Source organism: Homo sapiens, chromosome 1, assembly GCF_000001405.40.
Source record: "Homo sapiens chromosome 1, GRCh38.p14 Primary Assembly".
Taxonomy (NCBI): Eukaryota; Metazoa; Chordata; class Mammalia; order Primates; family Hominidae; genus Homo; species Homo sapiens.
In genome coordinates this window covers 159,914,876-159,926,959 of record NC_000001.11, presented here as the reverse complement: position 1 = coordinate 159,926,959, position 12,084 = coordinate 159,914,876, and the positions used below count along the sequence as shown (strand labels likewise).

Below are 12,084 nucleotides of genomic sequence, written 5' to 3'. Positions count from 1 at the left end.
AATGGAGGTGCATTCAGCATTCATTCAAGAACATTTATTGAGTGCTTACGGAGGCCAGCTACTAAAGGCCAGCCACTGAAGTAGATACTGAGAAAATACAAAGCTCTGGAAGCACGCCTTTGCCCTTGAGGAGTTCTTTCTAGTCAGTGAGGCGGACAAAGAAATAGTTACCGTATGATAAGTTCCGTGATAAAGCTATGTGTTGGTTATTGTAGCACAAAGGAAGATGTTGCATTCAAGGCCACCTTTAGTGAACGCTAATATCGTGTGCTGGGACAAATGCCACATATTGGGGGGGAGTCCTCAGGACCCTCACAGATAGATGGTGGTAATAATAGTATTCACTATGTGCCAGGCACTGCTCTAAGCCCTATAGGTGGACTGTTTAGTTCTCTACAATTCTATGAATTAGGTAGTACTATTAGCTCTGTTCTATAGACCAGGGAACTCAAGCATAGAATGCACAACAGTCACACAGCAGGTAAAGGGTAGAGCAGGTGGGGAGCCAGTCAAGGAAGGGAAACTGTCCTAGGCAGAGGAATAGCCTTTGTAAAGGCACAGAAGAGTGAGAATGCTTGACAATCAGTGGGACTGGAATATAGGGCTGTGTAGGACTCGGGGAGGGAACAGAGAATAATAGAAAGGTTGGACAGGACTGGATATTGACATCCTGGAATCTCAGGTTCAAGGGAGGACTCTATCATGTGTGCAGAACTCCACCCCGGGGGACTCTATTCAACTGAAGCCTGAAAGGATGGGGGGCTCTTTCTCCACCCCTGAACTGTGCTGTCCTCCACCCTCAGAGACAAAAGAACCCCAGCCAGCCTCCTCGCGCTGAGGTCTCCCCCTCTGATCCCTCCAGGATTTAGGAAGAGATACCAGGTCATAGAAAAGGAGATGAAAGGCAGGGAGAAGACAGGTCTGAGCCCTGGGTCCCAACACCGAAAACACCCCTAGGGCCCTGGGCAGAGTGACCTCACTGTTAGTCCCTGCCCAGGCTTGAAGTAAGAGGTGAGCAAGATCACGTGGGGGTGCTGTCCCGGCCTGCAAGTCCCAGTCCTGTCACACACTAGTCAGTTGGGGTCGGGGGAAGGCCTTCCTGTGCCTCCTTTTACCTTGCCAGCCTCTAAACTAGGAGGCTTCTTCCTACATAAACACGCCCACAGTGTTTAGCTAACTTTCTAGGCAGAAAGTTTCCTACTGGGGCACAAGTCTACGGGCTCTCGGTGGAGGCTGAGGTACTCACGGGTGGAGACCACTGCAGCCGCCTTTGTAGATTCAGACTCCCCGAACCTTTAACCCTTGCTCTGGTCTACTGTCCCTCTGTCTCAAGCAGTCCTCCCTCCTTCTGCGCTGCGGCGCCTTTAAACCTTCTTGGCCCTTGCCCCGCCCCGGGTCCGCCCCGTCTGAGGCGGGACCCTCCTGAAAATCCCCGGCTGGGCAGGGCGCACCACTTGCAGCTGCAGCCCTTGCCTTGAGTCAGTGCGCCGCTCTCCAGCCCGCTTGAACGGTGAGCAGGTCGGGGGTACGGGGGTCGGGGACATGTGCGTGCTGTGTAGAAAGCAAGAAGCCAGCGCTTTGAACTTGCTCCAGCGAGCTCGGGGATCAAGGGCTGGTACCAGGCAAGGGTCCGGTGACTACTTTACCCCGCCCCGTGCTGTCAGGTCCTGTCCCCAAGCCCTGACCCGACATTGTTGGACGATGAGGTCAGGCGAGGTTAGCCCATGCATAGACAGGGCGTCCGTCTGGAGCAGGGACTCAGGGACTGAGCCCCACCCGCGGGCTCCATCGCTGAGTCCTCACTGGGGCGAGGGGAAAAAAGGGCGTCGGACTTTAGCTGGCTGGCCCCGAGTGACCCCGGGTCGTGGCGCCGGCCCTGGGCCAGCTCGTGCTCCTGGGCTTTCCCGCGCGACCCTTCACTTCCTGGTTCCAGGAGCACGTGTGAGCACTGCGTGCCCTCTGAGTCCCCGAGGCCGCCCTTTTCATTCCTGTTCCTGCTAGCTTGCTATTCTGGGGACTTGAGGTCACGGGCTGGGGCTAGGGGGCTCTGCATGGGTCGCACGGTGACCTTCTGTGAAGCTCCAGTCATCTCTATGACGGTCCCCTGACCTCGGGGGTCTGGGTGCTGCAGCCCTGACTGCGCCCCGGGGTGCCCTGTGTGAGGTTGTGGGGGTGGTGGTGGCTGCTTTTACCCTGCCCGAGCGCCGCTGCCCCCACCGGGTGCCCCCTGCTGCTGGGAAAGCCGGTGGTGGCCGCGGGCGGACGGGCGGGCTGCCCAGACCACTGCGTCACCCCAGCGGCGGGAGGGCGGTGGGTGACTCATCTGTTGTAACGGCCCAGGGTGTGGTCGTGGGGGTGGGGGGCGGCGGCTGGGAGGCCGGACCTGCAGGACCGGAGGTGGACTGCCGCCTCCCCCCGCGCCCTGTGCCTCCTGGGGCTACCTGAAGCCGGTGTCCTGGGAGATCTGTGAGCAGTTGGTATCTGTGGGGCAGAGAGAAACGGGGTGAGAGTGGGGATGGAGTGTGGGATTCGATGTAGAAGACCTGCGGCTGGGACGGGGCTCCCCCAGTGTTCTCATTGACTTCAAAGCACCAGACAGCAATGGCTCTCTATCTCTAGCCCCCTCCCAGTTTCTCCTCCCCACTACAAGGGGCAGACCTACAACTGCAGAGGAGGCCAAGGCAGGGCGGGCCCAGTAGGGCCCTACCATTCCAGAACCAACAAATAGGTTTTGTCCAACCGCAACTCCCTCCCTCACCCCAAGGCCTCTGCCCCTGTCCCCCACCCCGGGATTGGCCCCTAATCCTTTCTTCATTCCATCCCTTCTCCCTCCAGAATTTTCAGCTGTGGGTTCTCTAGCTCAGAACACTTTCCCTTCCCAGGGGATTTCTTCTCCTGAACAACTACTTCCTGAGTCCTCTTCTTCACCCCAACACGGGTCATTTCCTATCTTCCCCCACACGCTGTCCATCCCCACTATAGCTGTCTCCTGGAATAATCTCTTGCACCTGGCTACACCCGAGCACTGCTGAGACGATCCCACTTCTGCTCCCGTGCTCACAGCCTGCTCACCACAACGTCTGTGTTGACAGGGTGTTTCTGCCCGGAGCCCCCACCCAGCCTCCAACACTGTTTGGTACACAGAAGCCATGGCAACGGCCCCCACCTCATCCCCTCCTCCCACGCAAGCTTTGGAGCTTCCTGTTTGTGTAGCCTCAGCTTTCTCTTCTGCTCCTGACTCTCGGTGGTGAGGGGCTGCCCTACGGTGGTTCCCTTAATTGTGGGCCGCCCCCCATCCTTGCTGCTGGCTGTGGCACCTCGCTCTGTGGGCTGGTGCCCTCACTGTGCTGCTCTTTGAGAACACTCCCTGTCCCAAATCTGAGTTGGGAAGTTCTCCTGTGTTCCATCTGCACGGTGGATGGAGAGTCCCTTTGTCTTCCCAATTAAACACCCTAGCCAAGAACCCTGAAGTCCTCCCTGCCCCCACCCATGTCCGCCTTTTCTTTGGCTTTGGCTTTGGTGAGGTAAGCTTCCAGCCCAGGGTCTGGGTGGGGCCGAGTGCCTTGCGTGGCCCCTCCCCGTTTCCCGCCTATTGTAACTCCAGGGTGAGGGTGAGGGTTGTTCTCACAGCTGCAGTAGCGCTAGGGTTTAGGTTGCTCCCTGCCAGTCCATCCCCCAGGTTGTTCAGCTGTCACCTTCCTTTGGGGTCCCCAGCTCTGGGGGTCCCCCACACCTGTCTTCCAGCTGGGCATATCTCTTCTCACCCTGGTAGGCAACTTGCTTACTGTTTTCTTTATGTTTGAGGGAAGGCAGGGGCAGGTCCCCTGGGTGTCCCTAGGGTGGGCCTTCCCAGCTCCAGCAGCCGCAGCCCATCAGCTTCTGCCTGCCCGTGGGGGTGGGGAAGAGAAACAGCTGCTGACCAGGCCTGGCCTGGTTGGAACTGCCCCTTCTCAGGACCCCGCCCTATGGCTCTGGCACCTCAGAGCTTGAGGGCAATGGCCCCAGAGTGGAGCAGATACACTGCAGCTGGAGGCCGTGACCCTGCCAGCTGTGTCCAGGCCCCAGCGTTGGGCGGTGGAGGGGGTTCCTCAGCATCCACTTTCCACCCAGTGGTGGGTCTGGGAGGCCAAGTTTGTCCTGCCTTGGGGGGTTGGGGGGCACTGGAAGTGTCTGGCTTCAGGCCTTTCTCTCTGCTCTTAACCCCAGTGTCTAGGTTAATCATTCTCCTGCCCTTTCTTTACCTGTGCCATGGTGATCCCCGAGCCTCAGGCCACTTGGTCCCTGGAAACAGCCCTGAGCACAGCCACTCCCAGGAGAGAGGTCTGGAACTGGGCTGCGGAAAGGGGGCTTACTGGTGGTAGTAGCTCTTAGCCCCTTCCTCTTCCTACCTGTCTTCCAGCCATTCCCCTGTGCATCAGAGGTTAGAGGTTTCTATGGTGGAGTGGCCTCTGGGAAGGGCAGGGATGCTTCTCTTGGTTTCTCCTCAGAACTCAGCCACCCCACCCCGCCTGCCTTCCCCAAGCTGATGGTGTGTGTGCCTGGCGCTGTGGGTCGGGGCCCAGACTGACATTTATCTGGCCCAGCTTTCGGGCTGGGGGAAGTGGAGGGGGCGGGTTGCTCTTAATGAGGTTTAAAAATAACTGATTTAGGGGAGGATCTGCCGGAAATGTGCAGCTTGATAAGCTGGGGTAAAAAGGAGCAGCCATGTTGGAGTCGGGACGGGAGGGACTGGCCCAAGACACAGCCTCTGCGGCCGAGAGGTGTTGAGGGTTTGAGGCAGGCTGGTCCCCTTGTATTTCGCAGAGCCCCAAGGTCCATTGAGAGGGGGTGACGGGATTGTTTAACCTGGGTGTGTGGGAGAGGGGGAGCTGGAGTGACTTCATCCCTGAAGGCCAACCTGGCCTGGAGCCAGATGTGGTTAGAAGGGGTGGCTCTCTTTCTTCCCCTTGAACGCAGATGCCTGTCCTGGGGGTCCCCTTTCGTGAGCAGCCTGACAGCTAGCTCTGTTTTGGAGAAGAGAGAAAAGCCAAACCAGGGTGGGGATGGGACAGAAAATGGGGACTGTGGCCCATTCTTGGTTCTTGGCTCCCCTTGGCATCCATACCATGCCCGGGTCTTGCTCAGCCCCTGAGTGTCAGACCCAGGTGGTGAGTGTGGTGGGAACACACTGCCACAGTGAGGTCCGCCAACTCAGGCCATTGGTCGGGAAACCACCCAGTTCTTGCTAATCAAGCTCCTCCAACGAAGTTAAAGAAACCCTCCTGTGTATTTCCCCGTCTTGCCTTCTCTTCTCCAGGTTTCCCCAAAAATATCACCCAGGGCTCCTGTATTAGTTTCCTATTTCTGCTGTAACAAATTGCTACAAGCTTAGTGATTTAAAGCAACACAAATACAGCATCTTACAGTTCTACAGACTCAACAGGGGTCTCACTGGCTAAAATACAGGTGTTGGCAGAGCTGTGTTCCTTCTGGGGTTTTTGGGTGAATCTATTTCCTTCCCTTTTCTGGCTTCTGGAGGCCACCTGCATTGCTTGGTTCATGGCCCTGTGTGACTCTGACTTCTACTTCCATTTTGTTGTTGTTGTTGTTACTTCTCCCACTCTGACTCACCTATCTCCCACTTTCAGTTAGTAAGGCCCTTGTGATTACACTGGGCTCATTTAGATGATGCAGGATAATCTCCCCATTTCGAGATCTTAATCACATCTACGAAGTCCCTTTTTGTCATATAAGATAACAATATCCACAGGTTCTGGGAATTAGGACATGGACACCTTTTGCGGGGGCATGATTCTGCCTGTCATAGCTCCTAGAGGGGAAAGTAGAATTTGTTTTTATTGCCTGGTTTTTCATAGGAAATTCGATTTGTTTGCTGAAATCCCTCAAGGACCTATTCAAGCCTACCTCTTCCAGAAAGCCTTCCCAGGCTGCTTCTGCCCGTCTGCTTCTTTTAACTCCTACAACATGTGATCTGAACTGTGCACTTTAGTATTCTTTGTGTGCAATCCTTACCTGTTCATATGTACTCACTTTGTCTCCCTGATGGCACTGTGGGCACTTGAGGACCAAGGACTTCTACTATCTCTTTCACAATCCCTAGCACAGATAGTAGGTGCTCAATTAAAATCCAGTGGTTTGCACCAACCTAGATGGTTAAAAAAAAAGCAAAGAAAACCCAGAGGTTGAGGGAGGGTAGATCCAACCAGTTTCCTAAGCTGTTCCACATTCCTCCTCCTCTCCCCAAATCATTCTCTTTCCCAGGGCTATAAAGAGCAGGGTTGCATTTGGTAACAGTTCTGGTCCTCATCCTTGGGGCTCACCGTGGGGGAAATGGTGTATATCCCTGCAGGCAGAATTCCTGAATTCCCCACTCCCCAGGCTGCAAGGTGTTGACCAAAAGCCCGGGTGTGTCCTCTCCCTAGCTCCCCGCAGCCACCGCCACCCATTGGAATGGCCAACAGGGGACCTGCATATGGCCTGAGCCGGGAGGTGCAGCAGAAGATTGAGAAACAATATGATGCAGATCTGGAGCAGATCCTGATCCAGTGGATCACCACCCAGTGCCGAAAGGATGTGGGCCGGCCCCAGCCTGGACGCGAGAACTTCCAGAACTGGCTCAAGGATGGCACGGTGAGAGCCGGGCCCCACTGGCTTGGAAGTGCAGGGAGAGCAGGACTGGGTCCAGTGGACTGGGGATTGTTTAACCTGAAGAGGAGAAGACTGAAGGCACACATGTCCCAGCCTCTTCCTCAGCTTGAAGGCCTTTGTCAAGGATGTGAGAGGGCCCATGCTTTCCTCCCTTCCCGTGGAGTGGAGGGTAAGGGTGAATGTGCCTCCCAGGCAGTGGAAGACTGAGGTGACACTGAGGAAGAATGTCTCTAAGGAAAGAACTGTGGGAGGGTATATTAGCAAGGAAAGACTAAACACTGGCTTTTCACTCTGGGCTCGGAGGAAGGAGGCTGGCAAGAAGGACTGTGAGGCTTACTCTAGTGAAAGAGTCCAAGCTGTCTTCAGGCAAGACAGGAGCCTCTCTGGTTCATTGTCTCTGGTTCTGAGGGTGGTGCACGCTGAGCTGCGATAGGTAGGCATATTCTCACCTTTCCACCCCTGCTGTCCTCATCCAGGTGCTATGTGAGCTCATTAATGCACTGTACCCCGAGGGGCAGGCCCCAGTAAAGAAGATCCAGGCCTCCACCATGGCCTTCAAGCAGATGGAGCAGATCTCTCAGTTCCTGCAAGCAGCTGAGCGCTATGGCATTAACACCACTGACATCTTCCAAACTGTGGACCTCTGGGAAGGTGGGACAGGGCGAGGGGCTGGGTCCTGTCATCCAGGAGGCCAGAGATTGGGCTGGGCCCTCTTGACCAGGCAGAAGGGGCTGTTTTCTGGCTCCCTGCAGAGAAAGAGGGGTGTGTTTGTGTTCCATGGAGCACTTGGTCATATTGGAGGCTGGAATGGAGAAGGGTATGGAAATGAACAGTAGAAATAATTAGGAAGCCAGGCCTGCTGACTTAGCGATAGAGGCGGAACCCTGGTATCTAGGACACTGCGGAGGCTGACACATTCCCATTCTCCTTCCCAGGAAAGAACATGGCCTGTGTGCAGCGGACGCTGATGAATCTGGGTGGGCTGGCAGTAGCCCGAGATGATGGGCTCTTCTCTGGGGATCCCAACTGGTTCCCTAAGTAAGTATTGCTGGGACAGCCGCAGGGTCCAGCAGGTGCATTGTTTCTGCCCAATCCTGTCCCTAGGAAATAACTTATCTCAGTAGCAGCTGGCCCTTTACAAAGCACTTTCAGAAAATTCCTCATCTCACTTAATCCTCACAACACCCTCTGGGATGGCAAATGACTGTCCCTTTGGACAGATGAGGAGGTGGCTTCAGAGAGCTTATGGCTCTCGAGGGCAGAGCTGGCACCAGCCCTTGAGCCAACAGCAAAGCCTGTGCTCTGTCCAAGGAAGGGATTTACTAGGGCAGCCTGTGATCTCCTCTAACCACCACTCCCTTGTCACCCAGGAAATCCAAGGAGAATCCTCGGAACTTCTCGGATAACCAGCTGCAAGAGGGCAAGAACGTGATCGGGTTACAGATGGGCACCAACCGCGGGGCGTCTCAGGCAGGCATGACTGGCTACGGGATGCCACGCCAGATCCTCTGATCCCACCCCAGGCCTTGCCCCTGCCCTCCCACGAATGGTTAATATATATGTAGATATATATTTTAGCAGTGACATTCCCAGAGAGCCCCAGAGCTCTCAAGCTCCTTTCTGTCAGGGTGGGGGGTTCAGCCTGTCCTGTCACCTCTGAGGTGCCTGCTGGCATCCTCTCCCCCATGCTTACTAATACATTCCCTTCCCCATAGCCATCAAAACTGGACCAACTGGCCTCTTCCTTTCCCCTGGGACCAAAATTTAGGGGCCTCAGTCCCTCACCGCCATGCCCTGGCCTATTCTGTCTCTCCTTCTTCCCCCTGGCCTGTTCTGTCTCTGAGCTCTGTGTCCTCCGTTCATTCCATGGCTGGGAGTCACTGATGCTGCCTCTGCCTTCTGATGCTGGACTGGCCTTGCTTCTACAAGTATGCTTCTCCCACAGCTGTGGCTGCAGGAACTTAATTTATAGGGAGGAGCCTGTGGCAGCTGCTGCCCCAGCCACAGCTGCACTGACTGTGCTCACCACACATCTGGGGCAGCCTTCCCTGGCAGGGGCCCTCGTGGCTTCTCATTTTCCATTCCCTTCACTGTGGCTAAGGGGTGGGGTGAGGGGATGGAGAGGGAGGGCTGCCTACCATGGTCTGGGGCTTGAGGAAGATGAGTTTGTTGATTTAAATAAAGAATTTGTCATTTTTGAATGGACTCTGGCTGTGTCTGGGGCCACTGTGCCACTGTGGGGAAGGGAGGAATACTGGGCAAAGTGCAGTGAGTGATACAGGAAGGAGGGCAGAGATGAGAGGTTGCAGTGCTAACCCCTGTCTTGAGTTTCCTCCCCATCCTCATTCTCACTTGCTTTGGGGGGTGGTGTAGGTTGGAATTGAGAGGGGACAGGACCTCACAGCTGAATGCAGACTATGTAGGCAGTGTCCACAGGGAAGTAAGGCCCTTTCTAGTCAATGGAATTGGCTAATCCTGCCTGCTGCCTTTGGCTGGGTCTGCCTCTACAGTTGGAACAGCTTCTCAGTCACTGAGAGGGTGGGGCTGGCTGCTGGCACAGCCATCAGTCCTGGCAAGTGAAGCTGTCTCCAGGTGAGAGGTCCCTCAGGCGGGCTTGGGGTGAGGTGGTCTGTGTTGGAGTGGTGAGGGTGGGGGTTGCAGTGGTGAGGAAACGTGGAGAGCTGGGGAATGAGCAGGAGTGAGTTGGTGGTGGTCGCTGGAGGGAAGAAGCCGTGTTGATTGATCCTAAGCACCTGTGAACTAAGTGCCTGGGAGAGACTAAAACTTCCTTTCTAGGGTGTGGCCTTGGGCCATGATCATCAATTTTGGGTCAGGTTGTCTCTAGCACCTATCCTTGACCGAGGCATGAGTGTTCCACCCACAGTTTCTTTTTTTTTCTTTTCTTTTTTTTTTTGAGACAGAGTCTTGCTTTGTCACCCAGGCTGTAGTGCAGTAGCATGATCGCTCTTGTTCTCCAGGCTGGAGTGCAGTGGCATGATCTCGGCTCACTGCGACCTCCGCCTCCCAGGTTCAAGCGATTCTCCTGCCTCAGCCTCCTGAGTAGCTGGGATTACAGGCATGTGCCACCACGCCTGGCTAATTTTTTTGTATTTTTAGTAGAGACGGGGTTTTTCCACGTTGGTCAGGCTGGTCTTGAACTCCCGACCTCAGGTGATCTGCCAGCCTCGGCCTCCCAAAGTGCTGGGATTACAGATGTGAGCCACCGTGCCTGGCTATTTTTTGTATTTTTTATAGAGATGGGGTTTCACCATGTTGGCCAGCCTGGTCTCGAACCCCTGAGCTCAAGCGATCTGCCTGACCTCATGGCTCTGCCTTTTCTTGCCATCTCCCAACTCCCCAGCCTCAGCCTCCCAAAGTGCTGGGAGCCCCACCCATAGTTTCTAACCACTAGGTGTTACCTTTACCCCAAGGCTTCCCAGTCAGACTCTGTGTCTCCCCAGGGGGAATTTGAGGGACGCTGGGCCAGTCTGACATTAAGTTCCAGCCCCATCAGCCTCACCCAGAGGCCTGGCCTTCCTTGCCCCTTTCCCCTTTTCTACCTGAGGGTATCTCTGTCTCCTAGGAGGAGAAAGCCACAACACTGTGCCTGAGGGAAACAGGTTTGTATCCAGAGCTTTTGTTCTCTCCCCTTTTGTTCCCCTGCTTCTCTGAGGCTCCCTCTTCCAAAAAGCACCCACTAGGGGCGAGGCCCAATGCCAATTCTTCATAGCCATGGCTGTCAGCCTCATCCCCACACCACGCTTAGCCTTGCCACACCACACCTCGGGAGAGACTGTATTTGCTTGCTTGCTGCACTCCCACAGGCTGTGGCACAGATAAGATAGGCTGCAGCCTATGGGCAAATTCCCAGGGGATTAGATCCTTTATCTCTCATTCAGGAAGGCTTTGTGGAATGCTAGTCAGGGAGAGTGATGTCATTGCAGAGAAAACATTGAATTCGCTATGTATACTAAAACAACAAGCCGTTTGCCACCTTCCCTGGTTTAACTATTTATAGCTATAAATTATTGGCCACACGCCTCACAACTCTGAGAAATGCCATTTGTTACAGTGCCAGCGCTGAGAACCACTGCCTTCTCCCAGAAGATTCTCACAAACGCCCAGGAGGTGGATATTACTGTAATGTGTTCCCCATTTTGTCTTTAGATGAGGATACTGGTCTCAGAAGGGCCAAGGAATGTGCCCAGGGCCACAAAGCAATTAAGGGAGAAGCAGGGATTTGCATCCAATCAAGCTGGCTCTGAACCTGGCTGAGCCTGTGCAGCTCTAGGCTCAGCAAGAAGTGAAGCTGTCAAGGGACTAGGGGACAGAGGTGGTGGTGGGTGGCAGGGCAATGCTCCTCATCTGTAAGCTGAAGATGATAATTCCTTCCTCGTGAAGTTGCCGTGAGGATTAGATGAACCCTGGAAAGCACTTTGCATGGGGAATGCTAGCACATAGTGCTCAGGAAATGGAAGTGTGGGGAATAAAAGGTGGAACATTTGTGTATGGACCCTGGGCTGAGAGGGAGCTGATGCCCAGCAGTTTCATGCCCTTCACCACTGTCCTGTTGAACACGGGCCAAGATGCTTTCAGTGGCCCTATCCCCTTTACCTGGAACAGCTTATTTTCAAGGGAGACACCAGCTGTATTTGAGAGGGGCTCAGCCATTGGGCTCACCTTCTTCTGGCTGCACCCACCACCACCCAAGCCTTGTGAGGAATCTCAATGTTCCCTTAATTCATCTAACTGCAGACTCAGCTGCTTCCTTCTGGAGCCGGCCTCCAGTGGCATCTCAACATTTTCCAGCTTTCTGTTTGTCTGCTTTCTAGCATTTTGTCTCACCTGAGGTTACAATTTCATCCTTAACTTGGCTTCTCTCATCTCTGACCCCACTTCAGGCCCTGGGGCCCAGACTAGGCACCAGCCTGTGTATGGTTCTGCCTTTTCTTGCCATCTCCCAACACCTTATTCTGTGTGGCTGTCTACAGTGGTGTCTCTCTCTCTTTCTTACATTTTTCTTTATTATTATTATTATTAATTATTATACTTTAAGTTCTAGGGTACATGTGCATAACGTGCAGGTTTGTTACATAGGTATACATGGGCCATGTTAGTTTGCTGCACCTATCAGCTCGTCATTTACATTAGGCATTTCTCCTAACGCTATCTCTCCCCCAGCCTCCCACCTCCACAACAGGCCCCGGTATGTGATGTTTCCCTCCCTGTGTCCATGTGTTCTCATTGTTCAACTCTTTCTTTCTTTCTTTCTTTTTTTTTTTTTTTAACTTTAAGCTCTGGGATACAGGTGCTGGACATGCAGGTTTGTTGCATAGGTATACGTGTGCCCTGGTGGTTTGCTCCACCTATCAACCCATCACCTAGGTTTTAAGCCCCGCATACATTAACTGTTTGTCCTGATGCTCACCCTCCCCT

At 54.3% G+C, this 12,084-nt stretch overlaps 1 protein-coding gene and 1 long non-coding RNA gene across 4 annotated transcripts, besides 12 other annotated features; one reads left to right on the top strand and one right to left on the bottom strand.

The window, feature by feature from the left end:
• Positions 1–19: 19 nt before the first annotated feature.
• LOC124904437 (uncharacterized) lies at positions 20–3,082 on the bottom strand. Its single transcript, XR_007066683.1, has 2 exons — positions 3,009–3,082; positions 20–2,481 (listed from the first exon to the last, which is right to left on the bottom strand). It is a non-coding gene; the product is annotated as an uncharacterized LOC124904437 (long non-coding RNA).
• On the top strand, positions 1,453–8,849 carry TAGLN2 (transgelin 2). 3 transcript variants are annotated; one of them, NM_003564.3, is made up of 5 exons: positions 1,453–1,510; positions 6,423–6,630; positions 7,125–7,299; positions 7,584–7,686; positions 8,019–8,849. In NM_003564.3, the coding sequence occupies exons 2-5, from the start codon at positions 6,451–6,453 to the stop codon at positions 8,158–8,160; spliced, it is 600 nt and encodes a 199-aa protein (NP_003555.1). In that variant the 5' UTR covers positions 1,453–1,510; positions 6,423–6,450; the 3' UTR covers positions 8,161–8,849. The 3 variants fall into 3 exon arrangements, with proteins under 3 accessions (NP_003555.1, NP_001264152.1, NP_001264153.1); NM_001277223.2 differs by lacking the exon at positions 1,453–1,510 and adding an exon at positions 2,365–2,466; NM_001277224.2 differs by lacking the exon at positions 1,453–1,510 and adding an exon at positions 3,226–3,524.
• Positions 1,775–2,351: an enhancer, noted in NCBI's record as "H3K27ac-H3K4me1 hESC enhancer chr1:159894399-159894975 (GRCh37/hg19 assembly coordinates)". NCBI's record gives its function as "activates a minimal SCP1, AML or CMV promoter by ChIP-STARR-seq in naive H9 embryonic stem cells {active_cell/tissue: H9 hESC(naive)}" and the evidence as "EXISTENCE:reporter gene assay evidence [ECO:0000049][PMID:30033119]".
• Positions 1,775–3,023: a biological region, named in NCBI's record as "P300/CBP strongly-dependent group 1 enhancer GRCh37_chr1:159893727-159894926".
• Positions 1,824–3,023: an enhancer, noted in NCBI's record as "P300/CBP strongly-dependent group 1 enhancer chr1:159893727-159894926 (GRCh37/hg19 assembly coordinates)". NCBI's record gives its function as "activates an origin of replication core promoter dependent on BRD2, BRD4, P300/CBP, MED14 and CDK7 cofactors, with strong dependence on P300/CBP, by STARR-seq in HCT116 cells {active_cell/tissue: HCT116}" and the evidence as "EXISTENCE:reporter gene assay evidence [ECO:0000049][PMID:35650434]".
• Positions 2,083–2,492: a silencer, noted in NCBI's record as "silent region_1456". NCBI's record gives its function as "represses an Ori minimal core promoter by ATAC-STARR-seq in GM12878 lymphoblastoid cells {active_cell/tissue: GM12878}" and the evidence as "EXISTENCE:reporter gene assay evidence [ECO:0000049][PMID:35858748]".
• Positions 3,163–3,322: an enhancer, noted in NCBI's record as "active region_1911". NCBI's record gives its function as "activates an Ori minimal core promoter by ATAC-STARR-seq in GM12878 lymphoblastoid cells {active_cell/tissue: GM12878}" and the evidence as "EXISTENCE:reporter gene assay evidence [ECO:0000049][PMID:35858748]".
• Positions 3,333–3,432: an enhancer, noted in NCBI's record as "active region_1910". NCBI's record gives its function as "activates an Ori minimal core promoter by ATAC-STARR-seq in GM12878 lymphoblastoid cells {active_cell/tissue: GM12878}" and the evidence as "EXISTENCE:reporter gene assay evidence [ECO:0000049][PMID:35858748]".
• Positions 3,833–4,012: an enhancer, noted in NCBI's record as "active region_1909". NCBI's record gives its function as "activates an Ori minimal core promoter by ATAC-STARR-seq in GM12878 lymphoblastoid cells {active_cell/tissue: GM12878}" and the evidence as "EXISTENCE:reporter gene assay evidence [ECO:0000049][PMID:35858748]".
• Positions 4,133–4,182: an enhancer, noted in NCBI's record as "active region_1908". NCBI's record gives its function as "activates an Ori minimal core promoter by ATAC-STARR-seq in GM12878 lymphoblastoid cells {active_cell/tissue: GM12878}" and the evidence as "EXISTENCE:reporter gene assay evidence [ECO:0000049][PMID:35858748]".
• Positions 4,493–4,542: an enhancer, noted in NCBI's record as "active region_1907". NCBI's record gives its function as "activates an Ori minimal core promoter by ATAC-STARR-seq in GM12878 lymphoblastoid cells {active_cell/tissue: GM12878}" and the evidence as "EXISTENCE:reporter gene assay evidence [ECO:0000049][PMID:35858748]".
• Positions 5,263–5,402: an enhancer, noted in NCBI's record as "active region_1906". NCBI's record gives its function as "activates an Ori minimal core promoter by ATAC-STARR-seq in GM12878 lymphoblastoid cells {active_cell/tissue: GM12878}" and the evidence as "EXISTENCE:reporter gene assay evidence [ECO:0000049][PMID:35858748]".
• Positions 5,483–5,702: an enhancer, noted in NCBI's record as "active region_1905". NCBI's record gives its function as "activates an Ori minimal core promoter by ATAC-STARR-seq in GM12878 lymphoblastoid cells {active_cell/tissue: GM12878}" and the evidence as "EXISTENCE:reporter gene assay evidence [ECO:0000049][PMID:35858748]".
• Positions 8,154–9,043: an enhancer, noted in NCBI's record as "H3K27ac-H3K4me1 hESC enhancer chr1:159887707-159888596 (GRCh37/hg19 assembly coordinates)". NCBI's record gives its function as "activates a minimal SCP1, AML or CMV promoter by ChIP-STARR-seq in naive H9 embryonic stem cells {active_cell/tissue: H9 hESC(naive)}" and the evidence as "EXISTENCE:reporter gene assay evidence [ECO:0000049][PMID:30033119]".

What these genes read in the sequence shown, in the direction of transcription:
- TAGLN2 (NM_001277224.2), top strand. Translation starts at nt 3,490, where the DNA reads ATGTCCGCCTTTTCTTTGGCTTTGGCTTTGGTGAG. An exon ending in ACTGGCTCAAGGATGGCACG is followed by an intron (nt 6,631 to 7,124) that starts GTGAGAGCCGGG and finishes GTCCTCATCCAG; the next exon opens with GTGCTATGTGAGCTCATTAA. An exon ending in AACTGTGGACCTCTGGGAAG is followed by an intron (nt 7,300 to 7,583) that starts GTGGGACAGGGC and finishes TCTCCTTCCCAG; the next exon opens with GAAAGAACATGGCCTGTGTG.